Source organism: Homo sapiens, chromosome 15 (assembly GCF_000001405.40).
Source record: "Homo sapiens chromosome 15, GRCh38.p14 Primary Assembly".
Taxonomy (NCBI): domain Eukaryota; kingdom Metazoa; phylum Chordata; class Mammalia; order Primates; family Hominidae; genus Homo; species Homo sapiens.
Genome location: NC_000015.10, coordinates 55504638 through 55532067, shown reverse-complemented (window position 1 = coordinate 55532067; position 27430 = coordinate 55504638). Strand labels below are relative to the sequence as shown.

The 27430-nt window shown below is 40.7% G+C and overlaps 2 protein-coding genes across 4 annotated transcripts in view, besides 1 other annotated feature; both read left to right on the top strand.

Moving 5' to 3' along the window:
• Positions 1-1139: 1139 nt before the first annotated feature.
• Positions 1140-21327, top strand: LOC124903496 (uncharacterized mitochondrial protein AtMg00860-like). Its single transcript, XM_047433411.1, has 2 exons — positions 1140-1233; positions 15797-21327. Exon 2 carries the CDS (start codon positions 15844-15846, stop codon positions 16615-16617), a length of 774 nt encoding a protein of 257 aa, XP_047289367.1. The 5' UTR covers positions 1140-1233; positions 15797-15843; the 3' UTR covers positions 16618-21327.
• Positions 5386-5435: a silencer, noted in NCBI's record as "silent region_6454". NCBI's record gives its function as "represses an Ori minimal core promoter by ATAC-STARR-seq in GM12878 lymphoblastoid cells {active_cell/tissue: GM12878}" and the evidence as "EXISTENCE:reporter gene assay evidence [ECO:0000049][PMID:35858748]".
• DNAAF4 (dynein axonemal assembly factor 4) overlaps positions 23834-27430 on the top strand; it is a 90480-nt gene continuing 86883 nt past the window's right edge. For all 3 annotated transcript variants that reach the window (NM_001033560.2, NM_001033559.3, NM_130810.4), the window contains exon 1: positions 23834-23946. The gene's annotated coding sequence lies outside the window, so the exon portion shown is untranslated. The remainder of the gene's footprint in view (positions 23947-27430) is intronic.

Below are 27430 nucleotides of genomic sequence, written 5' to 3'. Positions count from 1 at the left end.
TATCTCATAAAGGATTCTTGTATCCAGAATACATAACACACATGTAGCAGACATATCACCGAAGAGTGAAACAAATAAGCACATGAAAAGATGCTTAACATCACTGGTCACCAGACAAATGCAAATTAAAACTGTAGTGAGGTACAAATAGACAACTACTAGATTTAATAAAATGTTTTAAAAGCCCACAAAACTACTGATACCCAGTCCTGGTGAATATGCAGAGTAATGGAAACTTTTATACATTGCTGGTAGAAATGTAAAATTTGTACTTTTGAAGTAGTTTAGTAGTTTCTTATAACATTAGTAAACTTAAACCTATCATATGGCCCAGCAATTATATTTTTAAGTATTTACTCCTGAATGTTTATAGCAGTTTTATTCATAATTACCAAAAACTGGAAACAACCAAAATGTCTACCAACTATAGAATGGACAAACGACTCTTTGTACATGTATATCATATAATACTTAGTAAAAAAAAAGAATGCATGAAACACAACAGCACAGACGGATCTCCAAAGCATTGAGCTAAATAAGAAGAAAACGAAAGGGTTCATACTACATGATTTCCTTATATAACATTCTGAAAAAGACAAAACAATAAGAAAAGAATTCAGTTCAGTGGTTGCCAGGGATCGGGGCTGGGAGGATGTAACTGAGTAGCTTAGGTTCAAAATGCATTTTGAGACTTTTTTTTCTTCCTTTTCTTCCTTTTAGCCTTGAAACATACCTTAATACTCTTTGTTTCCCTGCCTTCCCACCAGACACTCTTGTGCACTGGTAGTTTATCTAATTATGTGCCCAGAAGTTGCAGGGGCTAATCTTGAGATAAACCAGGCATGGAAACCCAGGTGTGAAATTCTAGAGATTACCTCAGAGCAGTTAGTCAACAGCCTCACCATTGTTGAGATGATGCCAGCCTGCACTCCAAGTGGACCATGACTCAGGATAACCAGTGGAACAAGACACACAGACCTCGTACCCAGCACCATTCCTGCATGCCTTCCATTCCAAGTTCCCCTCTTTAAACCCCTGTCCACGGCCTAAAGTTTGAAATAGTCTGTTAAGAGCACGAGTCTGGACATTCCCCATCTGCTAGCGTTTGAATAAAAGCTGTTTCCCTTTGGTCACACCTCATTTCTCATACTTTGACTTCTAACAGTGAGCAGTTGAACTTGAGTCAGTTACAGGAGGAGGAAATTGACTGCAAAGAAATACGAGAAAACTTTGGTGAGATGGAAATATTTTATATCTTGGTTGTGGTTGAGGTTACATAGCTGTTTATATTGATCAAAACTCTAGAACAATATATCTCAAACGAGTGGATTTTACTGCATGTAAATTATACCTCAGTAAACCTAACTTTAAAATTCTAAGATACAGCTCTCGCAATATTTGGAAGGCCAATTTGCAGTCTTAAATGAACCTATAAAAACCAAGGAGCTTTTAAAAAAATGAATTATGATTTAACTCAAGAGTTTGAAGAATAACAAGTAGAAGAATGGAAACAAATGTAAGAGCAAAAGTTAATGAAATGAAAAATGGGAGAAGATCAACAAAAATAAAGGTTATTTTTACTAGTCTTTCAAAAAACTAATAAACATGTAATAAGAGAGATGGGACAGAAAGAGATTATACAAACAAGCAATATTAGGAATAAAAACATGATTATCTTAGATAAAGTAGAAAATGCTATAAGTAGCTTTATGTCAATGGAGGCTAAGACTAGTTGCAGGAAGAATAAGAAATAGGATATTGGTGTGATTGCAGATTATCTGTCTCCCACAAAACACTAATCAATTACAAAGAAGAAAATTATGACTTTACAGTGAAGAAACTTGGCAGACACCAATATGACAGGTGATGACCAATGTTACCAGTGGTGGGAACAGTCAACCGCATATGTCCGTACTATGGCTGATACTCTTACAAGGGCATAGTTTCATTTCCATGATATTCCTGCCATGAATGCATGACCTGAGTGTGATCATAAGGAAACATCCAGCTCAAGGATCACTCTACAAAAGGTAAGGCCTGTACTCTTTCAAAGACTAAGGAGCTTTTTGAGATTGGAGAAAACTGAAGAGACTTGATAACTGTATTAGTCCATTTTCACGCTGCTGATAAAGACATACCCGAGACTGGGAAGAAAAAGAGTTTTAATTGGACTTACAGTTCCACAGGTTTAACTCTGTGCACAAACTAGTCAGTCCACTGAAAAGGATAACAGACAGGTGAGTTTGTGTCCTTTGATTGCTTAGGATCTGTTGCTAATTTGCTGAACTGAAGCTGCAAGAGCCTTGTGTTTTTGAGCATCTAGTGGGAAAAGTCTTTACCTCTGGTTGTGTGAGTTTGAGATATATTCCTACCTCAGCGGGGGTGGAGGGGGAGGGTATAAGTAAAATAAATTAGAAGACTCTTTAAAGAGTACCGTTATGATTGTTTTGGAGCAATGTCACCACTCTCTCCTCAGGGATTTTAGGCAATGTCTGGAGACATTTTGGGCTGTTACAATTTGGGGGTGCTTTTGGCATCTAATGGGTAGAGATTTGGTGTGCTGCCACACAGCTCACAATGCTCAGGACCGCCCTGCATGACAAAACAATTATCTGGCTTAAAATGACAATCGTTTTAGAGAAACTGAAAAGCACTTATATAAATCTAATATTCTCAACATTTCCTCAACATAAATTGAATGTCTAATGCTTTAAATGTGATAGCCTGCTTAAAAAAAAAAAGTCCTTCTCACAGAAGCTGCTAGCTCAAAAGCACTTTAAAAAAAAGCACTTAGAAAAAAAAAAAAAAACAAGAAATCAAGTTCATGCAATTAAACTAGACTGATAATTTGGGTTTAAAAAATAACTGTATCAGGCCGTGTGTAGTGGCTCATGCCTGTACTCTCAGCACTTTGGGGACTGAGTTGGGTGGGTCTCTTGAGGCCAGGAGTTCAAGACCAGCCTGGCCAGCATGGTGACACCCCGTCTCTACTAAAAAAAAAAAACAAAAAAACAAAAAAACATTAGCTGGGTGTGGTGGCACATGCCTTTAATTCCAGCTACTACTGGGGAGGCTGAAGCACGAGAAATGCTTGAACCTGGGAGACAGAGTTTGCAGTGAGCCAAGATTGCACCACTGCAGTCCAGCCTGAGAGACAGAGTGAGACTGTTTCCAGGAAAAAAAAAAAAAAAAAAAAAAACACCAAAAAAGTCGTATATTTTTCTGATTATATCAGTGTGAAGAAAAAATACAAGTATACAAGTTTTATTCTTTTTAAAAATATGGATTGTTTACATAAAGGTAATTTTGTTTTTGTTCCTTTTTTTTCAGGTTCAGGAATACATGTGCAGGTTTGCTGTATAGGTAAATTGCGTGTCATGGAGATTTGGTATACAGATTATTTTATCACTCAGGTAATAAGCATAGCGCCGGGTGGGTAGTTTGTTGATCCTCACCTTCCTTCCGCCCTTCACTCTTAAGCAGGCCCTAGTGTCTCTTGTTTCCTTCATTGTGTCTATATGCACTTAATGTTTAGCTCCCACTTGTAAGTGAGAACATGCAGTATTTGGTTTTCTGTTCCTGTGTTAGTTCACTTAGAATAATGGCCTTCAGCTCCATCCATGTTGCTGCAAAAAACATGATCTTGTTCTTTTTTATGGCTGCGTAGTAATCCATGGTGTATATGTACTACATTTTCTTTATCCAGTTCACCATTCGTGAGCATCTAGGTTGATTCCATGTCTTTGCTGTTGTGAATAGTGCTGTGATGGACATATGTGTGCATGTGTCATTATGGTAGAATTATTTATATTCCTTTGGGTATATACACAATAATGGTATTGCTGGGTTGAATGGTGATTCTGCTTTGTGTTCTTTGAGAAATCACCAAACTGCTTTCCACAGTGGCTGAAATAAGTTACATTCCCACCAACAGTGTATAAGTGTTCCCTTTTCTCTGCAACCTTGCCAGCATCTATTATTTTTTGACTTTTTAATAATAGCCATTCTTACTGGTGTGAGATGTTATCTCATTGTGGGTTTGATTTGCATTTCGAAGAGAATTGCTACTTTGAATTTCTGACATTTCTTATACAGATTTAATCTGATAAGCTAATATTATTCCTACGTAATATTTAGGATGAGGAACAGTGAATAATTTTGTTTAAGTGGATTGGTTTATAATTCTGACAAACTTTTTTTTGTTATTTGTTTGTTTTGGTTTGTTTTCTTCTTAGAGACAGGTCTCGCTCTGTTGCCCAGGCTGGAGCACAGTGGTGCTATCATAGCTCACCGTAACCTCAAACTCCTGGGTATAAGTGATCATCCTATCTCAGCCTCCTGAGCAGCTAGGACTACAGGTCCATGCCACCATGTCTGGCTAATTTATTTGTTTTGTAAAGATGGGGGTCTCACTTTGATGCCCATGCTGGTCTCAAACTCCTGGCCTCAAGCAATTATCTGGCCTTACCCTCCCAAAGTGCTGGAATTGCAGGCATGAGCCACTGCTCCTGGCCTCTGACAAAGTTTTTAATATCAACAGTACATTAGGGGCCTCCAGACCTGGGCCCCCAGCACAGCTTCCCAGGCCCTGCCTGATCACTTCAATCCGTTGCAGCTCTGCATTTCTCTGAGGAGGAAATCCCAGAGACCATCCACAGGCTGTCTGCCATTGCCACTGCAGTGGTACCCACCTTTGCTGCCCTCTGGCTGGGGAAGGAACAAAGAGCCTAATTGCTTTGCTGGCAGCTCCCATATGTGGAGGAGCCCAGTCTCTCTTTCCTATAATCCCTCAACCCACTGCTTTTCACCAGGTAGGGCCCCCAGCTTGGGCCTGTAGCACAGCCTGCAGTAGGTTTGTGTTTTTCTAGGGTGGAGCTTCTGCAGGCAACTGACAGCCCCTCTGTTACTGTAGCAGTATCTGCCCTTCCTGCCATCAGGCTGGGGAAGGAAAAAATAGCCTGAGTGCTTTACTCACACCTCCAGCACGCCATAGCCGCCCTGCAGAGAAGAAGTCAGACTCTTCCCCATGGGCCCTCCATCCCCCTGCTATTCACCAAGCAGGGATCCCAGACTTGAGCCCACAGTGCAGCCTCCTCACCTTGGGCTGATTGTTCTGATTGGCAGTGGCCCTGCGTTTCTCTGGGGCAGAGACCCAAGAGACGAGTGAAAGGCCCTCTACCATTGCCACTGCCAAGGTTCCTGCCCCTGCTGCCCCCAAGCTGGGGAGGGAACAAAAAGCCTGAGCTTGCCACAAAGCTGTGTTGTGCAGGCCTGGAGTGCCAAGCCGAGATCTGTGGCCAGCACTCAAGTGGAAGAGGAGCCCACATTCAGAGAGCACTGACAGGGAGCATGGCTGCGTATGTGAGGAAATGAAAGAGGAGCCACGTGGCTAAGAGCTACCGGCCCTATGGTTAGCGCCATCTACTGGATCACAGCTCAAACTTCAACATCAAAAATACTTCTGTTAGTAGACCCTGTGAAACCAAGGACAAAAATCCAGCCCCAAATAAACACCCTGCACAAAGCCTCAGCCCTCTGAAAACATCCAGAAACAAATCCAACTGGCTATATTGAAATTACACCACAGTTAAGGAACATCAGCACACAGATGAGAAAGAACCAGTACAAGAACTCAGGCAACTCTAAAAGCCATAGCGTTTGCTTACCTCCAAATGACTGCGCTAGCTCCCCAGCAATAGTTCTTAACCAGAATGAAATGGCTGAAATGACAGACATAGAATTCAGAATCTGGATGGCAATGAAGATCATTGAGATTCAGTAGAGAGCTGAAATCCATTCCAAGGAATCTAAGAAATCCAGTAAAATGATTCAAGAGATGAAAGATGAAATAGCCATATAGGGAACCAAACTGAGCTGATAGAGCTGAAAAACTCACTACAAGAATCTTATAATACAATCAGAAGTATTAACAGTATAATAAACCAAGCTGAAGAAACAATCTCAGAGCTTGACAATCAGTTCTTCAAATTATTCAATCAGACAAAAATAAGGAATTTTTTTGAATAAGCAAAACCTCTGAGTAATATGGGATTATGTAAAGAGACCAAATCAATGACCCATTGACATCCCTGAAAGAGAAGAAGAGAGAGAAAGCAGCTTGGAAAACATATTTGGGAATATTAACCATGAAAATTTCCCCAACCTTACTAGAAAGGTTGACATTCAAATTCAGGAAATTTAGAGAAGCCCTGCAAGGTACTATTCAAGGCTATCACCCTGAAGACACATAGTCATTAGATTCTTCAAGGTCAACATGAAAGAAAAAATGTTAAAGGCAGCTAGAGAGAAGGGGCAAGTCACCAACAAAGGGAACCCCATCAGGCTAACAATGGACCTTTCAACAGAAATCCTACAAGCCAGAAAAACTTGGGGCTAATAGTCAGCATCCTTAAAGAAAAGAAATTCCAACCAAGAATTTCATATCCAGCCAAATGAAGCTTCATAAGTGAAGGAGAAATAAAATCCTTTTCAGACAAGCAAATGCTAAGGGAATTCATTACCACCAGACTTGCCTTACGAGAGGTTTTTAAGGGAGTGCTAAACAGGGAAATGAAAGACCATTACTGACCACCACAAAAAGACACTCAAGCATATTGACCATTGAAACTAAAGCAAATATGCAATCAAGTCTTCAAGTCTACATAACAACCACCTAACAATACAATGATGTGATCAAATCAGCACACATCAATACTAACTTTGAATGTAAAGGGGCTAAAAATCCCACTTAAAGGGCATGGAGTGGCAAGCTGGATAAAGAAGCAAGACCCAGTGGTATGCTATCATCAAGAGACCCATCTCACATGCAAGGACACCCACAGGCTCAAAGTAAAGGGATGAAGAAAGATCTCTCAAGTAAACAGAAAACAAAAGAGTAGGAGCTGCAATTCTTATTTCAGACAAAACAGACTTTAAATGAAGAATGATCAAAAAGGACAAAGAAGGCATTACACAGTGATAAAGAGCTCAGTTCAACAAGAAGATTTAACTAGACTAAATATATATTAACCGAACACTGGAGCACTAGATTCATAAGACAACTTCTTACAGACTTACAAAGAGACTTAGATAACCACACAATAATAGTGAAAGACTTCAATGCCCACTGACAGTATTGGACAGATCACTGAGGCAGAATAACTGACAAAGATATTTGGGATCTAAACTTGACACTTGACCAAATAGACCTAACAGACATCTACAGAACACTTCACCCAACAAAAGCAGAATATACATTCTTCTCATCTGCACATGGCATACACTCTGAAATTGACCACATGCTGAGCCATGAAGCAATTCTCAACTAAATAAAAAAAAATCATACCAACCACATTCTCAGACCACCATGCAATAAAAATAGAAATTTTTATTTCTATTATTTTATTTCTATTATTATTTATTTACCAAGAAGATCTCTCAAAACCACACAATTAAATGGAAATTAAATAATCTGCTCTGGAATGACTTTTGGGTAAACAATAAAATTAAGGCAGAAACTAAGAAATTATTTGAAATGAATGAAAATGAAGATACAAAATACCAGAATCTCTAGGACATAGCTAAAGCAATGTTAAGAGGAAAGTTTAGGCTGGGCGCAGTGGCTCACACCTGTGATCCCAGCAGCACTTTGGGAGGCCAAGGCAGGCGAATCACAATGTCAAGAGATTGAGACCATCCTGGCCAACAACGTGAAACTCCGTCTCTACTAAAAATACAAAAATTAGCTGGGCGTGGTGGCAAGTGCCTGTAGTCCCAACTACTAGGGAGGCTGAGGCAGGAGAATCACTTGAACCCGGGAGGCGGAGCTTGCAGTGAGCCGAGATCATGCCACTGCACTCCAGCCTGGTGACAATTAAATGGAACCTCACCTGCTCGGGAGGCTGAGGTTGGAGAATGGCATGAACCCAGGAGACAGAGGTTGCAGTGAGCCAAGATCGCGCCACTGCACTCCAGCCTGGGTGACAGAGCAAGACTCCGTCTCAAAAAAAAAAAAAAAAAAAAAAAATTAAATAAGTGAGAAAGATCTCAAATTAACAACCTAACTTTACACCTAGAGAAACTAGAAGAAAAACACAAAGCCAGCCCCAACGCTGGCAGAAGAAAAGAAATAATCAAAAGCAGAGCTGAACTGAACAAAATGGAGATGAGAAAAGCCATACAAAAGATCAACAAAACCAAAAGCTGCTTTTCCGAAAGAATAAGATTGATAGACTGTTAGCTAAACTAATAAAAAAAGAGAGAAGATCCAAATAAACGCAATCAGAAATGACAAAGAGGACATGAACACCAACCCCATAGAAATACAAAAACCATCAGAAACTATTATGAACATCTCTATGCACACAAGCTAGAAAACCTACAGCAAATGGGTAAATTCCAGGAAACATACAACCTCCAAAGATTAAACCAGAAAGAAATTGAAACCCCAAAAAGATCAATAATGAGTTCTGAAACTGAATCAGTAATGAAAATCCTACCCGACCCTGGACCACATGGATTCACAACTGCATTCTACGAAATGTATAAAGCAGAGCTGGTACCAATCCTACTGAAACTATTCCAAAAAATTGAGGAGGAGGGTATCCTTCCTAACTCATTCTATGAGGCCAGCATCATTGTGATACAAAAACCTGGCAGAGACACAACAAAAAGGAGAACTTTAGGTCAATATCTCTGGTAAAGATAGGTGCAAAAATCTTCTACAAAATACTAACAAACCAAGTCCAGTAGCATATCAAAAAGCGAATCCACCACAACCAAGTAGGCTTTTTCCCTGGGATGCAAGGTTGGTTCAACACAGGTAAATTAATAAATGTGATTTATCACATAAACAGAACTAAAAACAAAACTAAATGACCATCTCAATAAAGAAGAAAAGGCATTCAGTAAAACTCAACACACTTTCATGTTAAAAACCCTCAACAAACCAGGCGTTGAAGATACATTCCTCAAAATAATAAGAGCCATCTATGACAAACCCACAGTCAACATCATATTGAATGGGCAAAAGCTGTAAGTATTCCCCTTGAGAACTGGAACAAGACAAGGATGCCTGCTCTTATCACTCCTATTCAGTACAGTACTGGAGCTCCTAGATAGAGCAATCAGGCAAGAGAAAGAAATAAAAGACATCAAAATAAGAAGAGAGGAAGCTAAACTATCTCTCTTCACAGAAAATATGATTCTATACCTAGAAAACCCTACAGTCTCTGCCCAAAATCTCCTAATCTGATAAACAACCTCAAAGTCTCCCAGATCTGATAAACAACTTCAGCAAAGTTTCAGGATAAAAAAAATCGATGTACAAAATTCAGGAGCATTTCTACACACCAATAATGTCCCAGCTGAGAGCCAAATTAAAAAAAAAAATCTCATTCACAATAACCACAAAAAGAATAAAACACCTAGGAATACATGTATTAGTCCGTTTTCATGCTGCTGATAAAGACATACCTGAGACTGGGCAATTTGCAAAAGAAAGAGGTTTAATTGGACTTAGAGTTCCATGTGGCTGGGGAAAGCTCACAATCACGGTAGAAAGCAAGGAGGAGCAAGTCACATCTTACGTGGATGGTGGCAGGCAAAGAGAGGAGCACTTGTGCATGGAAACTCCTGTTTTTATAATCATCAGATCTCGTGAGACTTACTCTCTCTCATGAGAACAGCATGGAAAATACCTGCCCCCATGATTCAATTACCTCCCTCCAGGTCCCTCTCACAACACGTGGGAATTCAAGATGAGATTTGGGTGGGGACACAGCCAAACCATATCAATACATCTAACCAGGGAAGTGAAAGATTTCTATAATGAGAATTACAAAACAGTGCTGAAAGAAATCAGAGACAAAACAAACAAACGGAAAAACATCCCATGCTCATGGACAGGAAGAATCAATATTGTTAAAATGGTCATACTGCTCAAAGCAATTTACAGATTCGATGCTGTTCCTATCAAACTCCTCACATTTTCCACAGAATTAGAAAAAAACTATTTTAAGATTCATTTGGAACCAAAAAAGAGCCTGTATAGCCAAAGCAATCCTAAGCAAAAAGAACAAAGCCAGAGACATCACACTACCTGACTTCAAACTATACTACAAGGCTTCCGTAACAAAAACAGGATGGTGCTAGTACAGAAACAGACATATAAAGCAATGGAACAAGTTAGAGGACCCACAGATAAAGTCACGCATCTGCAACCATATGATCTTCAGCAAAGCTGATGCTAACAAGCAGTGGGAAAAGAACTCACTAGTCAAAAAATGGTGCTAGGATAACTGGCTAGCCATATACAGAATGTTGAAACTGGAACCCTATGTTTCACCATGTACAAAAATGAACTCAACATGGATTAAAGACTGAAGTGTAAAACCTAAAAGTATAAAAACCCTAGAAGAAAACCTAGGAAATACTCTTCTGGGCATCAGACCTGACAAAGACTTCATGATGAGAATTCCAAAAGCAATTGCAACAAAAGCAAAGACTGACAATAGGGACCTAATTAAACTAAAGAGCTTCTACACAGCAAAAGAAACTATCAACAGAGTTAACAGGCAACCTAGAGAATGGAAGAAAATCTTTGCAAACTATGCATCTGACAAAAGTCTAATATTCAGCATCTATAAAGAACTTAGATCAACAAGCAAAAATCAAATGACCCCATTAAAAAAATGGCAAAGGACATGAACAGATACTTCTCAAAAGAAGACATACACACCAATAAGCATATGAATAAATGCTCAATATCACTAATGATTAGAGAAATGCAAATCAAAACCACAATGAGATAACCATCTCACACTAGTCAGAATGGCTACTAATAAAAAGTCAAAAAATAACAGATGCTGGTGAGGTTGTGGAGAAAAGCAAATGCTTATACACTGTTGGTGGGAATGTAAATTAGTTCAGCCACTGTGGAAAGCAGTCTGGAGATTTCTTAAGGAACTTAAAATAGAGCTACCATTTGACCCAGCAATCCCATTACTGGGTATATACTCAGAGGAATATAAATCATTCTGCCAAGATCATAAAGACACATGCATAAAGACACATGCATGCATATGTTCATTGCAGTACTATTCACAATAGCAAAGACATGGAATCAACCTAAATGCCCATCAATGGTAGACTGGATAAAGAAAAAGTGGTCCATATATACCATGGAACATTATGCAGCCATAAAAAAGGACAAGATCGTGTCCTTTGTAGCAACATGGGTGGGGTTGGAAGTCATTATCCTAAGCGAGTTAACATAGGTACAGAAAACCAAATACCACATGTTCTCACTGATAAGTGGGAGCCAAACATTCACTTTAAGATTCTGAACTATATTCAATTAAGTCATAAATAATCTTTGAATGCTTTGATAATTTCTTTTTTTTTTTTTTTTTTGAGATGGAGTCTCGCTCTGTCGCCCAGGCTGGAGTGCAGTGGCACAATCTCGGCTCACTGCAAGCTCCGCCTCGCGGGTTCACACCATTCTCCTGCCTCAGCCTCCCGAGTAGCTGGGACTACAGGCACCCGCCACCACACCTGGCCAATTTTTTTGTATTTTTAGTAGAGATGGGATTTCACCGTGTTAGCCAGGATGGTCTCGGTCTCCTGACCTCGTGATCCGCCTGCCTCGGCCTCCCAAAGTGCTAGGATTACAGGTGTGAGCCATCGTGCCCGGCCTGCTTTGATAATTTCTAAGTAATATAGAATCCCCAGACCAATCTCAGTTGTTATTTCGTACACATGCTTTTGGATTTTATTTTTATAAGTTATAGAGTGGTTCTTTGAGTCTTACTAATGAGCGTGTTAATTTTTTCCACTTCAATGTGTGAAAGGGATGTGTGTGGACATATGAGGTTGCATTATGTGAACTTATGAGCTTTTCTGGGCTACTAAATGCTTCTTATATGTAACAAATAGTTCTCAATTGCCACTTCTTAGTAGTTTCCATGAAGTAAAAGTAGCTTCTTTGATTACAGTTCTAAATAATACAAGTGGTAGAGATTATTGCAGGTGCAGTGTGACAGAGAAGTATGAAGAGAACACTATTATTTAAAGCAAAGTGTTTGGTGTAGAATGTTAAAGAAGATAGTAAAGGATGAAACTTGGATGGTGAGGAAAATTAAAGTCATGCAAACAGTGAACTTTATTTGCCTTGGTTTATCATAACTACAGATAATGAGCCTGAAAAGAAGCAATAAAATTTATTACAACTGTTAGTAAGTTTTGCCCAATTTTTATGAGTTTTACGAGTAGAAATTTAAGATAAAGTAAAAATGTAAAGTTTTTAACTGCCTAAAGTTTAGGTTAATACAAAATTATAATTTATTTTTTCCCTTATGTTAAAATGATAAATTGGTTTCAGAGCCTTCAGTCTGTTGTTAACCACAGGCAGGTTATTTTTTTACCTTCAATTTAATCTACTCAGATAATGAAACTTTATTTTTTTGAGACAGGGTCTTGCTCTGTCACCCAGGCTGGAGTGCAGTGGTGCCAACATGGATCATTGCAGCCTTCCATTCCTGTACTCAAGCAATCCTCCCACCTAAGCTCCCTGAGTAGCTGGGACTACAGGTGTGAGCCACCACGCCTGAGTAATTTTTTTTTTTTTTTAGAGACATTATCTCACTATGTTGCTCAGGCTGGTTTCAAACTACTGAGCTCAAGCGTCAAGTGCTCTGCCCACCTCAGTTTCCCAAAGTGCTAGGGTTATAGGTGTGAGCCACTGTGCCCAGCCTGCAATTTTATATCTCACAAGAAAAGTTTTCTGATTTTGTCATGGCCTTGATTACAGTACTTAAAAACAAAAACAAAAAACAAAGTACTCATGCTGAAAAAGCTGAAGTTCCTTACAATTGTGTTATCTTTTAGGATTTTTTTCACCCTATATTTTTCTTTTCTCTAGTGTCAACTCCTGTGCCAACCTTGATTTATAGGTAGTCAAGTTAAAATAATTCATTGTTCTCAGATTTCTATGATTTTTTCTTAATCAAGTGACAAATTCTGCTATGATAACTTTTTGATTATGCTTTTCCAAGATCGAACCCTAAATTATATTTTCAAAAATTCAAGATGTCTTTTAGACCTAACTGTTTTTGAGTTTTCCCAAGAGGCCCCTAAAAATCATGAAGATTTATTCTTTTTTTTTTTTTTTTTGTGAGATAGAGCCTCACTCCATTGCCAGGCTAGAGTGCAATGGCGTGATCTTGCCACTAGATTTATTCTTTACTCAAAAAGGAATGGTAAAAATAATTGAAATTGCCTGATATATTTCATATTTCTGAAGTAGCAGAACATTATTGTAAGAACTGCATGGGAAAAGCTGTCAAATTTAAAGTTCAACCATTTCTAGTTCAATTTTTAGGTAAATAGTACCAATATAAACATGTTTCAGAGATTATGCACTTAGCATAATTTTTCAATGTCTTCACTATCCATAGTATGTTCTTTCCTTTGAGGAAAATATTGACCAAATCCTTTTTAAACAGTTATATATTGTATACCAGTAGAGAGTTTTTCTCTTCTCCATTTTCATTTAGCATCAGGCATTCAGTATTATCATCGGCAGGTTATTTCTGCTTTTCTCTCATGCTCACCTGAAGCCTTTGCTATAAGCTGTAGGTTAGAAAGGGTCTTGGCTGGGCGCAGTGGCTCACAGCACTTTGGGAGGCCAAGATGAGAGGATCGCTTGAGGCCAGGAGTTCAAGACCAGCCTGGTCAACAGAGCGAGATCCCATCTCTCAGAAAGAAAAAAAAAGAAAGAAAGAAGAAAAAAAGAAAGAAACAAAGGAAGGAAGGAAGGAAAAGAAAGAAGGAAGGAAGGAAAAGAAAGAAAGAAGGAAGGAAAGAAAGGAAGGAAGGAAAAGAAAGAAAGAAGGAAAGAAAGAGAGAGAGAGAGAGAGAATGAAAGAAAGAGAGAAAGAAAGAAAGAAAAGAAAGGAAAAGAAAAAAAGAAAGAAAGATTGCCTCAATCTAAGGAGGAAACACTTAGGGCATTGCAGAAGACTATAGAATTGATATCCTCAGCTATTGATACGTCAAGAAATTAAGACAGAGGCAGTGAAAAGTGGATGGATCTGAGAGATATTTAGGACTCTGAGGTTGATTGGATTTGTGGCACCTATCTGATATGATTTGGATGTTGTCCCCTCCAAATCTCATGTTGAAATGGAATCCTCAGTGTTGAAATTAGGGCCTGCTGGGAGGTGTTTGGATCATGGGGGAGGATCCCTTGTGAATAGCTTAGCACCGTCCCTTTGGTGATGAGCGAATTCTTGCTCTGAGTTCACCCAAGATCTGGTTGTTTAAAAGTCTGTGGCACCTCCTCCTGTCTCTCTTGCTCCCACTCTCACTATGGGACATGCTAGCTTTCTGTTGCCTTCCACCATGATTGTAAGCTTTCTGAGGCCTCACCAGAAGCAGATGGCAACACTACGCTTCTTGTAAAGCCTGCAGAACCATTAGCCAATTAAACATGTTTTCTTTATAAATTATCCATTTGTATTTATAGCATGCAAAAATGACCGAACACACTATCATAGGTATAATTATCAAATTCAAAAGCATTCAGTTCGTGAATATTAAAAGCTTCAGTTTTGTTCTCACTCAGATAGAAAAAACCATTTCATGTCTGTCAGGATGTGAATCAGAAAAATGACTGTGGCTGGGCATGGTGGCTCGTGCTTGTAATTCCAACACATTGGGAGGCTGAAGTGGGAAGATTGCTTAAAGCCAAGAGTTCAAAACCAGCCTGGGAAAAATATAAAGACCCTGTCTCTACAGAAAAGTTAAAAAAAAAAATGCTTCTGGTAAAGTCCAAGAAGAAAACGATAGATCTGCTCAAATGTCTGAATAAAGTATTGATAATATGAGGGCTTTACACAAAATCATAATTAATCCTTTCAATACCCTACATATAGATATTATTGCTTGCATTTTACAGATAAGGAAACTGAGGCTTGGGGGGAGAACCTTACTCAGGGTCATACAGCTAATAAAAGTAGAATTGGCTGAGTGTAGTGGTGCACGCCTGAAATTCCAGCACTTTGGGAGGCTGAGGTGGGAGGGAGGCTTCTGCCCAGGTTGCAGTGAGCTATGATGACAGTGCCACTGGATTCCTGCCTGGGTGACAGAGTGGGACCCTGTCACTAAAAAAAAAAATAACGATAATTAAAAAAAAAAAAAAGAAAAGTAGACTAGGCATACTAACCCAATTTGTCCAGTTACAAACACTTGATTAGAGGACCAAATTTTGATGCTAAGGAATTAAAAAAAAAAAAAAGGATTTTACCCTGGAAAGATGTTAACATTCCCAACATTCCTGACCTTAGATCCTGAGCCCCCTGGTTTAAAGGCCGCCTCTCTGAACCACTTCCAGTTGCACTTTCTCCAAGTGTAAGGAAGCTGTTCACCTGCAACCTGCTCACCCTTCTACATCATGGTTTGGCTACCTCGAATCCCTGCCCAACAGCCCCAGGCTACTTCCCGGAGTCTTTTCTCTGGCTAGTCCTTCTGAGGGTGGCCTGTGAGTCTTGAGTGTACATCTCTATGTCCAATGACAGGCTGTTAGCTCTGCTATGTTCCTGCATGAAACCCCAAGGAGACTGAGAATTCCAAATGTAAATTTGGCCTTCCAGGTCATTATGAATGCATATTCAGACTATGTAAGGAAATAGAGTTTATTTTATTAAATACTTTCTTAGCTTAATTTATAACTACCGTGTAACATTTGATTCACATGTATAAGGGAGGAGCCCACCCCTCATATTGTCTTATGCCCTAGGCTGCGTCTTGCTCCTGTACACGGATGACCTTCTGCTGGAACATGCCATGGCAGTTGGGTGTGCGAAGGGGACGGATGCCCTGCTTCAGCACCTGGAGAACTGTGTGTATAAGGTGTCCAAGAAGAAAGCTCAGATCTGCAGACAGCAGGTACACTACCTGGGATTCGCTATTCGGAAAGGGGAGCGCAGCCTGGGGTCAGAAAGAAAGCGGGTCATCTGCAGCCTACAGGAACCTAAAACCAGAAGGCAAGTAAGGGAATTCCTGGGAGCTGTGGGGTTTTGCAGATTATGGATTCCAAACTTTGCTGTACTGGTCAAGTCTTTGTATGGAGTTACAAAGGGGGGCGACCGGGAGTCTTTTGAATGGGGACCTCTACAACAGCAAGCCTTTCGTGAGTTAAAGGAAAACCTTATGTCGGCCCCAGTCCTAGGACTACCAGATTTGACAAAGCCCTTTACACTGTATGTGTCAGAAAGAGATAAAATGGCAGTTGGAGTTTTAACCCAGACTGTGGGGCCCTGGCCAAGGCCAGTAGCCTATCTCTCAAAACAACTAGATGGGGTTTCTAAAGGCTGGGCCCCATGTCTAAGGGCCCTGGCAGCAACAGCCCTGTTAGCACAAGAAGGAGATAAACTAACCCTTGGGCAAAACCTGAATATAAAGGCCCCCCGTGCTGTGGTAACTTTGATGAATACCAAAGGACAGCATCAGCTAACAAACGCTAGATTAACCAAGTACCAAAGCTGGCTGTGTGAAAATTCCCACATAACCACTGAAGTCTGTAACACCCTAAATCCCACCACCCTGCTCCCAGTATGAGAGCCCAGTCGAGCATAACTGTGTAGAAGTGTTGGACTCAGTTTGTTCTAGCAGACCTGACTTTCAGGACCAGCCATGGGCATCAGTAGACTGGGAGTTATACGTGGATGGGAGCAGCTTCATCAACCCACAAGGAGAAAGACATGCAGGATATGTGGTGGTAACTTTGGATGCTATCATTGAAGCCAAACTGTTGCCACAGGGACGTCAGCCCAGAAGGCTGAGCTCACTGCTTTAACTTGGGCTCTAGAACTCAGTGAAGGTAAGACTGTAAACATCGACACTGACTCTCGATATGCCTTTCTAACCCTCCAAGTGCGTGGAGCATTATATAAGGAAAAGGGCCGGTTAAACTCTGGGGGAAAGGACATAAAATATCAACAAGAAATTCTACAATTATTAGAGGCAGTGTGGAAACCTCAGAGAGTGGCAGTCATGCACTGCAGGGGACACCAGCGAACCTCCACTTCAGTGGCCTTAGGAAACTCCCGAGCTGACTCAGAAGCTCAAAAAGCAGCATCTACCCCTTACTGGGCATCGGTAGCAGCCTCCTTACTCCCTCAAACACCTGACCTGGTACCTACCTATTCTAAGGAAGAAAAAGAATGTTTCAACACAGAAGGGGGCAAGTAATAAAAGAAGGATGGATCAGACTGCCAGATGGGAGGGAAGCTGTGCCGCAGTTGCTGGGAGCCACAATCATACTGGCCATGCATGAAACCACTCATCTAGGTCAAGAGTCACTTGAAAAGTTGTTAGGCCGGTACTTCTACACTTGCCAGCCCTTGCCAAAGCAGTAGCACAACGGTGCGTTACTTGCAGACAGCAGAACGCAAGGCAAGGCCCCACTGTTCTGCCCGGCCTATAAGCTTACGGAGTAGCTCCTTTTGAGGATCTTCAGGTGGAATTCACAGAAATGCCAAAATGTAGAGGTAACAAGTATTTGCTGGTTCTTGTGTGTACTTACTCTGGGTGGGCGGAGTCTTCCCCAACACGAACCGAAAAGGCCTACGAAGTAACCCTTGTGCTTCTCCGAGACCTTATTCCTAGGTTTGGACTGCCCTTATGAATCAGCTCAGATAACGGGCCGGCGTTTGTGGCTGACTTGGTACGGAAGACAGCAAAGGCATTAGGAATCACTTGGAAGCTGCGTGCCGCCTACTGACCTCAGAGTTTCGGAAAGGTGGAGCGAATTAATCGGACTATCAAAAATGGTTTAGGGAAAGCACGTCAGGAAACAGGATTAAAATGGATACAGGCCCTTCCTATGGTATTGTTTAAAATTAGATGCACCCCTTCTAAGAAAACAGGATACTCCCCTTATGAAATACTGTATCATAGGCCTCCTACTATACTACGGGGACTTCCAGGCACTCCCCGAGAGTTAGGTGACATTGAGTTACAGCGACAGCTACAGGCTTTGGGAAAAATTACACAGACAATCTCGACTTGGGTAAATGAGAGGTGTCCTGTCAGCTTGTTCTCCCCAGTTCATCCTTTCTTTCCAGTTGATCGTGTGTGGATCAAGGACTGGAACGTAGCCCCTTTGCGGCCATGGTGGAAAGGACCTCAGACCGTCATCCTGACCACCCCCACGGCTGTAAAGGTAGAAGGAATCCCAGCCTGGATCCACCACAGCCATGTGAAACTGGCAGCCGCTGAAACCTGGGAGGCAAAACCGAGCCCGGACAACCCCTGCGAAGTGACTCTGAGGAGGCCGACAAACCCTGCTCCAGTCACACCCGGAAGCTGACTGGTCTACGCACGGCCGAAGCATGAGGAGAATCATCGTGGGACTCATTTTCCTTATAATTTGGACTTGTATAGTAAAAACTTCCACTGATTTTCCCCGCATGGAGGACTGCTCTCAGTGTATACATCAGGTTACTGAGGTAAGGCAACAAGTTAAAACAATCTTTCTGTTCTATAGTTACTGTGAATGCCTAGGAACTTTAAAAGGAACATGTTTATATACTGACACTCAGTACAAGGTATGTAGCCTAGGAAACGACCGGCCAGCTGTGTGTTATGACCCCTCTGAGCTTATCCAACACGAAACTGAAAAGGCCTACGAAGTAACCCGTGTGCTTCCCTGAGACCTTATTCCTAGGTTTGGACTGCCCTTACGAATTGGCTTAGATAATGGGCCGGCGTTTGTGGCTGACGGTTTTTGAAATAAGATTAAGGGCTGAAGACTAGTGGGGACGCGTAAATGATACAAGTAAAGTAATAGCCAGAACAGAAGAGAAAGGGGTGCCCAAACACATAATCTTGAAATTTGATGCCTGTGCTGTCATTAGTGGCAGTAAATTAGGAAAGGGATGTGGCTCTTTTGGGAAAAAGGCGATATGACTGAAAATAAGTACATTTGTCATGAATTAGGACTGTGTGGAAATGAATGTGAACACTGGTCTTGTGTCATTTAGGCCACTTGGATAAAAAAATGAAAAGGATCCAGTCCACTTCAGAAAGGAAAAAGTGGCCCTTCCTGTACTAAGGGACAATGTAACCCCTTAGAGCTAGCAACAACCAATCCCCTTGATCCTTGCTGGAAAAGAGGGGAGCATGTGACCTTAGGAATCGATGGGGCAGGACTGGATCCTTGAGTAAATATCTTAGTTCGAGGAGAAGTTTACAAACGCTCTGCTCAGCCAGTGTTTCAAACTTTCTAAGATGAACTAAATGTGCCAGTACCAGAAATTCCAGGAAAAACAAGAAATTTGTTTTTGCAATTAGCCAAGCATGTAGCCCAGTCTCTCAGTGTCACTTCATGTTATGTATGTGGAGGAACTGTGATGGGAGATCAATGGCCATGGGAAGCCCAAGAATTAGTACCTACAGACCCAGTTCCCAATGAATTCCCAGCTCAAAAGAGTCACCTTGATAATTTCTGGACCCTGAAGCCTCAATTATTGGACAATATTGCATAGCTAGAGAAGGAAAATAATTCACTCACCCCTTAGGACAACTTAGTTGTCTGGGACAGAAACTGTATAATGGTACCACAAAAACAGTCACTTGGTGGAGTTCAAATCACACAGAAAGGAATCCATTTAGTAAATTCCCAAGGTTGCAAACCATGTGGACCCACCTGGAGTCCCACTAGGACTGGACAGCCCCCACTGGATTATACTGGCTATGTGGGCATAGAGCTTACGCTAAATTACCTGGCCAGTGGGCAGGTAGTTGTATTACTGGCACTATTAAACCATCTTTCTTCCTACTGTCCATAAAGACAGGCGAACTCCTGGGCTTCCCTGTCTATGCTTCCCATGAAAAAAGAAGCATAGCTATAGGAAATTGGAAAGATAATGAATGGCCCCCAGAGAGAATCATACAATATTATGGACCTGCTACTTGGGGACGAGATGGTTCATGGGGATACTAGACCCCCATTTACATGCTCAACCAAATCATATGGTTACAAGCTGTCTTAGAAATAATCACTAATATGGGCTGGGCGCGGTGGCTCACACCTGTAATCCCAGCACTTTGGGAGGCCAACGCAGGTGGATCACGAGGTCAGGAGATTGAGACCATCCTGGCTAACATGGTGAAACCCCGTCTCTACTAACAATACAAAAAATTAGCCAGGGGTGGTGGCGGGTGCCTGTGGTTCCAGCTACTTGGGAGGCTGAGGCAGGAGAATGGCGTGAACCTGGGAGGCAGAGCTTGCAGCGAGCCGAGATTGTGCCACTGCACTCCAGCCTGGGCGACAGAGTGAGACTCCATCTCAAAAAAAAAAAAAAAAAGAAAAGAAAGAAAGAATCACTAATAAAACCGACAGAGCCTTGACTATTCTGGCCTGTCAAGAGACTCAGATGAGAAATGCTATCTATCAAAATAGATTGGCTCTTGACTACTTGCTAGCAGCTGAAGGAGGGGTCTGTGGGAAATTTAACCTTACTAATTGCTGTCTACACGTAGATGATCAAGGGCAAGTAGTTGAAGACATAGTCAGAGATATGATAAAACTGTCACATGTGCCCATGCAAGTGTGGCATGGATTTGATCCTGGGGCCATGTTTGGAAAATGGTTCCCAGTGTTAGGAGGATTTAAAACTCTTATAATAGGAGTTATATTAGTAATAGGAACCTGCTTACTGCTCCCTTGTTTGCTACCTGTACTTCTTCAAATGATAAAAAGCTTCATCGCTACCTTAGTTCACCAAAATGCTTCAGAACAACTGTACTATATGAATCACTATCGATCTGTCTTGCAAGAATACATGGGTAGTGAGGATGAAAGTGAGAACTCCCACTAATTGACTGAGGTTCTCAAAGTGGGGGAATAAGGGAGGAGACCACCCCTCATATTGTCTTATGCCCAATTTCTGCCTCCAAAGAAAGAAGTAAAAATTAAAAGGCAGAAATGGAATCCACAGGCAGATAGCCCAGCATCACGCCCTGGGCCTGGTAGTTAAGAATCAACCCCTGACCTAACTGCTCGTGTTATCTATAGATTTCAGACATTGTATGGAAAAACATTGTGAAAATCCCTGTCCTGTTTTATTCCGTTCTGATGACCGGTGCATGCAGCTCCCAGTCACGTACCCACTGCTTGCTTAATTGATCACGACCCTCTCACGCGGACCCCGTTAGAGTTGTAAGCCCTTAAAAGGGACAGGAATTGCTCACTCGGGGAGCTCGGTTTTTGGAAACGTGAGTCTGCTGATGCTTCCAGCTGAATAAAGCCCTTTCCTTCCACAACTCGGTGTCGTCTGAGGGGTTCTTGTCTGTGGTTCGTCCCGCTACACGTACAGGGTAATGGTTTAATATTTCATGAATAATATTAATTGTATTTCAAAATTAATGTGGTTAAATATACTGATATACTTTAATACATTTTTTCAACAGTTTAATGTTTTGGCATAGATAATAAATACAAATAGGAATTTGCATTTATCTAATGACAAAATGTTAACATTTTAAACTCTACTCAGTTATAAACTAAACTCAATTTTAAAATGTTTAAAAAATGTGTGGATGACACAAAAACAAACCTTCATGTTTGTTTATATTCTCCCCTTATTAATCCTCTTTAAGGATTAATTAAGCCTACAAAATTCTACTTTAATAATAGTTGTTCTCCTTAAGAGTCCCTTAAAACTTTTTTTTTTAATTAAATAACTAGGCCAGGTGTGGTGGCTCACACCTGTAATCCCAGCACTTTGGGAGGCTGAGGTGGGTAGATCCCCTGAGGTCAGGCATTCAAGACCAGCCTGGCCAACATGGTGAAACCCCGTCTCTACTAAAAATACAAAAAAATTAGCCAGGCATGGTGGCGCATGCCTGTACTCCCAGTTACTAGGGAAGCTGAGGCAGGAGAATCACTTGAACCCAGGAGGTGGAGGTTTCAGTGAGCCAGGATCACACCACTGCACTCCAGTCTGGGCAATGGAGCGAGACTCCGTTTTGAAAAAAAAAAAATGAAATAAGTGGTATTGTGCCAAAACAAGTCTAATAGGAAAAACAATCAAGCTCATACCCTATAAATATATATCTAAGATATTAGGACCCAAAAGAAAAGGAAAATTATGCAGGGTCACTTCACATTCTACATGACCTCTACCTAGATATTCTCATTTAATTTTAAATCACATTATCATTTCCGAAAGCCCAAATTTAAAATAGTAAAATAACTAATGCATTTAACACCTAGTGCCTAGAGTTTGGTCTGTAAAGCTATTCTCCACTAAATAGAACTAAAAGTTCTTGGAGAATTTCAATTCCTAGAGAAAAAAAAAGAAAAGAAAAACCTTTAAGGTGGACCTAAGTGATCTTGCTACTAGAATGAGGGATTTTTTTAAATGCCTTTTAAAGTTCCAAAGTGGTGTTAAGAAAACATAGAAAGCAACCTTTTCCAATGGCAAAATTTCGAATTTTGCACATCAAAAGTAAATAAAATTATAGGTAATTAATTTTAGGTTACGAATAGTAAATCATACTTAATTTTTGCTCCATAATGTATGCTTACACTCTCTAAGAACCTCAGGATATGAAATAAGGAAATAAGTATGCTTGTGTACTATAGAGATTGTTTTGAAATTTTTACTTTAAACTTGTAATATTTTTTACAAACAAAATAATTTATGGATTTACATACATAAACTATTAATAATAAAAGGAATAAGTATAAATCTATCACTGAAAATTACAGAGAGAGGAAAAAAATAACCTGGTGATATGGTTTGGCTGTGTCACCACCCAAATCTCATCTTGAATTGTAGTTCCCATAATCCCAACGTGGGGACCCAGTGGGTGATAACCGAATCATGGGGGCAGTTACCTCCATGCTGCTCTTGTGGTAGTGGGTGAGTTCTCATGAGATCTGATGATTTTATAAGGGGCTTCCCCCTACTTTGCTCTGCACTTCTCCTTGCTGCGGTCATGTGAAGAAGGACGTGTTTGCTTTCCCTTCCACCAAGATTGTAAGATTCCTGAGGCCTCCCCAGCCTTGCAGAATTGTGAGTCAATTAAACCTCTTTCCTTTATAACCCAGTCTTGGGTATGTCTTTATTAGCAGCGTGAGAACAGACTAATACACCTGTCAGTCTCCTTCATGCTTTCTGATTGCACGCTTTAATGCAATGACCAGAATCAAACAGAAACGACCTTGGGTGTTTTCTCTGGATTTTCCTGGGCAACCAGCCAGTGGGACCTGGACCTTCTGGCTCACAGTTGGAGGGGCTACACCTGAACTCAGCTTTTCATGGGATGGACAGTTTCTTCCAACACAAGTTCCAACAACTTTCTGTTTGACCCAAGGTCTCCAGATACTGGATAATGGGCTTTTTCAAAAAATACCTATCGGGCCGGGCGCAGTGGCTCACGTCTGTAATCCCAGCACTTTGGGAGGCCGAGGGGGGCGCATCACGAGGTCAGGAGATTAAGACCATCCTGGCTAACACAGTGAAACCCCGTCTCTACTAAAAATACAAAAAATTAGCCGGGCATGGTGGCGGGCGCCTGTAGTCCCAGCTACTGGGGAGGCTGAGGCAGAAGAATGGCGTGAACCCGGGAGGTGGAGCTTGCAGTGAGCTGAGATCGTGCCACTGCACTCCAGCCTGGGCGACAGAGTGAGAGTCTGTCTCAGACAAACAAACAAACAAATAAATGCCTGTAAACAGACTGCCTGGTGCTCTAGTAGTTTCCTTACTGACAAAATTCTTTTTGTGTGTGCCCTATAAATAGGAGAGCAACAAGAGGATGGGATTCCTCTCCTATTATGCAAACCCACACCATGGATCCAGCAGACTACTCTGGCCCCAGCATGCTGCTCCTTGGGATGATGGGAGAAGGGGGAAACCTGTGTTTTCTCTTGGTTTTGTAAGTTTCCCCTTTCCCCAGTAAAACTCATCCCTTAATCTAGTGGTTCTCAAACTTTGGTGTGTATCAAAATTATCTGGTAGGCTGGATAAAACACAGATTGCTGTGCCCCACTTCCAGAACTTCTGGTTCAATAGATCTAGAAGGAGACTGGGAATTTGCATTTCTAACAGGTCCCCAGATGATGGTAATATTGCTGGTGGTGGTGGGGAGGACCACATTCTGAGAACCTCTGTATTTAATTTTATTTGTATTTATTTATTTTATTTATTGTTTTAATTTAATTTTTGAGTCCCTGTTACTCAGGCTAGAGTGCAGTGGCATAATCATAGTCCACTGTAACCTGAACTCCTGGCCTCAAGTGACACTCCCAAAGTGCTGAGATTACAGGCGTGAGACACAATGTGCATCCCGGGCCTTCGTTTTAATTCATACAGTGTGACTATGTGGTAATCAGTTCTGTTGGTTACCAAAAAGGCTCCCACTTGTATGAACTTCACATAAGAGTTAACCACTCTCCTTTCTAGTGCCTATCTTTACAGACGACCCCTGACTTATGATGGTTTCTCTTTGATTTCCTAACTTTACAGTGATGCAAAAGCTATATGCATTCAGTAGAAACCATGCTGTGAGTACCCATACAACCATTCTGTTTTTCATTTTTAATACAGTATTCAATAAATTACAGGGTATATTAGACACTTTATTACACCTTATTATGTTAGATGACTTTGCCCAACTGTAGGCTAATGTAAGTGTTCTGAGCATGTTTAAGGTAGGGTAGCCTAAGCTATGGTGTTTGGTAGGTTAGGTGTTTTACATGTATTTTTGACATAGGATATTTTCAACTTATGATGGGTTTATCAGGAGGTAACCACATTGTAAGTAGAGAAGTGTTTGTATAGTTTTACCACATACCTAGGAATCCTTATCTAGTGGATTCAGTTTCCGTTGTTCAAAAGTTTTATAAAGGCCAGGCATGGTAGCTCATGCCTGTAATCCCAGCACTTTGGGAGATGGAAGTGAACGGATCACCTGAGGTCAGAAGTTCGAGACCAGCCTGGCCAACATGGTGAAACCCCACCTCTAATAAAAATACAAAAAATTAGCCAGGCTTGGTGGTGGGTGCCTGTAATCCCAGCTACTCAGGAGGCTGAGACAGGAGAATCGCTTGAACCTGGGAGGCAGAGATTGCAGTGAGCCAAGATGCCCCATTGCACTCCAGCCTGGGTGACAAGAGTGAAACTCCATCAAAAAAAGAAAAAAGAAAAATAAAAAAGTAAAAGTTGTATAAAATAGCATTATTTCTTGAGGATATTATTTGACTTGCTTTTTTCACTCATCCATCCAATGTATAGCTATCATTCACTCATTTTTATTGTTGTATAATATTCTGTTTTGTGTATATACCTGTTGAAAGACATTTGGCTTATTTTCAGGTTTTTTTCTATGAAGTTGCTATGAACACCTATAAATGTTTCCTAGTGTATAGGACCAAGACTTTTTCTAGGGCAGTAATTCTCAGATGGGGGAAATTTTGCTATTCCCACCCACCCCTGAAACCCAGAAGACATTTGGCAATGTCTGGAGACACTTTTATTATTAGAACTCAGGAGTGTTACTAGAATTAAGAGGGTGGATGCTGCTAAACATCTTAAAATGCACAGAGCAGCCTAAATTATACAAAATGATCCAGCCTATAATGTTAATAGTGTGGAGGCTGAAAAACCCTGTTGTAGGACAGTGGTTCACAAAGCATCAGCATCACCTAGGAACTTGCTAGAAATCTCTAAGATAGATACATAGGAGTGGAATTGCTGGTTATAAAATAAGCAGGTATTCACATTAATAAGATTATGCCAATTTGCCCATTTTATTGTGGGGTTGTGTTTCTTTTTCTCTATATATTTTGTTTATATGTTCTCTTTGTTTATTATTGAGAAAGAGGGCAAAAAGCAGCCCCTGATATTCAGAAGCTGACCTGGCACTCACAGCTTGGCCATAATATTATTCTGTTGAACATTAACAATTTAAATCTCATAGAATACCAAGCTGAGACAAAAGTACTCTGAGATCACAATAAAATGAGACAAGGCCACTTCATAGCATTATCTAAGCATAGGCAAAAACAAGGTCTTTGTGTCACCCATAAGATAACAGACACCCCCTTTCTGGATAAAATGTACAACAGCTACTTTTTTTATTATTATACTCTAAGTTCTAAGGTACATGTGCACAACGTGCAGGTTTGTTACATAGGTATACATGTGCCATGTTGGTTTGCTGCACCCATCAACTTGTCACTTACATTAGGTATTTCTCCTAACGCTATCCCTCCCCCAGCCCCCCCACCTCTCAACAGGCCCCAGTGTGTAATGTTCCCCTCCCTGTGTCCATGTGTTCTCATTTTTCAACTCCCACTTACGAGTGAGAACACGTGGTGTTTGGTTTTCTGCCCTTGTGCTATTTTGCTGAGAGTGATGGTTTCCAGATTCATCCATGTCCCTGCAAAGGACGTGAACTCCTCCTTTTTTATGGCTGCATAGTATTCCATGGTGTATATGTGCCACATTTTCTTTATCCAGTCTATTATTGATGGACATTTGGGTTGGTTCCAAGTCTTTGCTATTGTGAATAGTGCCTCAGTAAACATACGTGTGCATGTGTCTTTATAGTAGCATGATTTATAATCTTTTATATATACCCAGTAATGGGATTGCTGGGTCAAATGGTATTTCTAGTTCTAGATCCTTCAGGAATCTTCACACTGTCTTCCATAATGGTTGAACTAATTTACACTCCCACCAAAAGTGTAAAAGTGTTCCTATTTCTCCACATCCTCTCCAGCATCTATTGTTTCTTGACGTTTTAATGATCACCATTCTGACTGGTGTGAGATGGTATCTCACTGTGGTTTTGATTTGCATTTCTTTGATGACCAGTGATGACAAGCATTTTTTCATATGTCTGTTGGATGCATAAATGTCTTCTTTTGAGAAGTGTCTGTTCATATCCTTTGCTCACTTTTTGATGGGGTTGTTTTTTTCTTGTAAATTTGTTTAAGTTCTTTGTAGATTCTGGATATTAGCCCTTTGTCAGATGGATAGATTGCAAAAATTTTCTCCCATTCTGTAGGTTGCCTGTTCACTCTGATGATAGTTTCTTTTGCTGTGCAGAAGCTCTTTAGTTTAATTAGATCCCATTTGTCAATTTTGGCTTTTGTTGCCATTGCTTTTGGTGCTTTAGTCATGAAGTTTTTGCCCATGCCTATGTCCTAAATGGTATTGCCTAAGTTTTCTTCTAGGGTTTTTATGGTTTTAGGTCTTACATTTAAGTCTTTAATCCATCTTGAGTTAATTTTTGTATAAGGTGTAAGGAAGGGATCCAGTTTCAGCTTTCTACATATGGCTAGACAGTTTTCCCAGCACATTTATTAAATAGGGAATCATTTCCCCATTGCTTGTTTTTATCAGGTTTGTGAAAG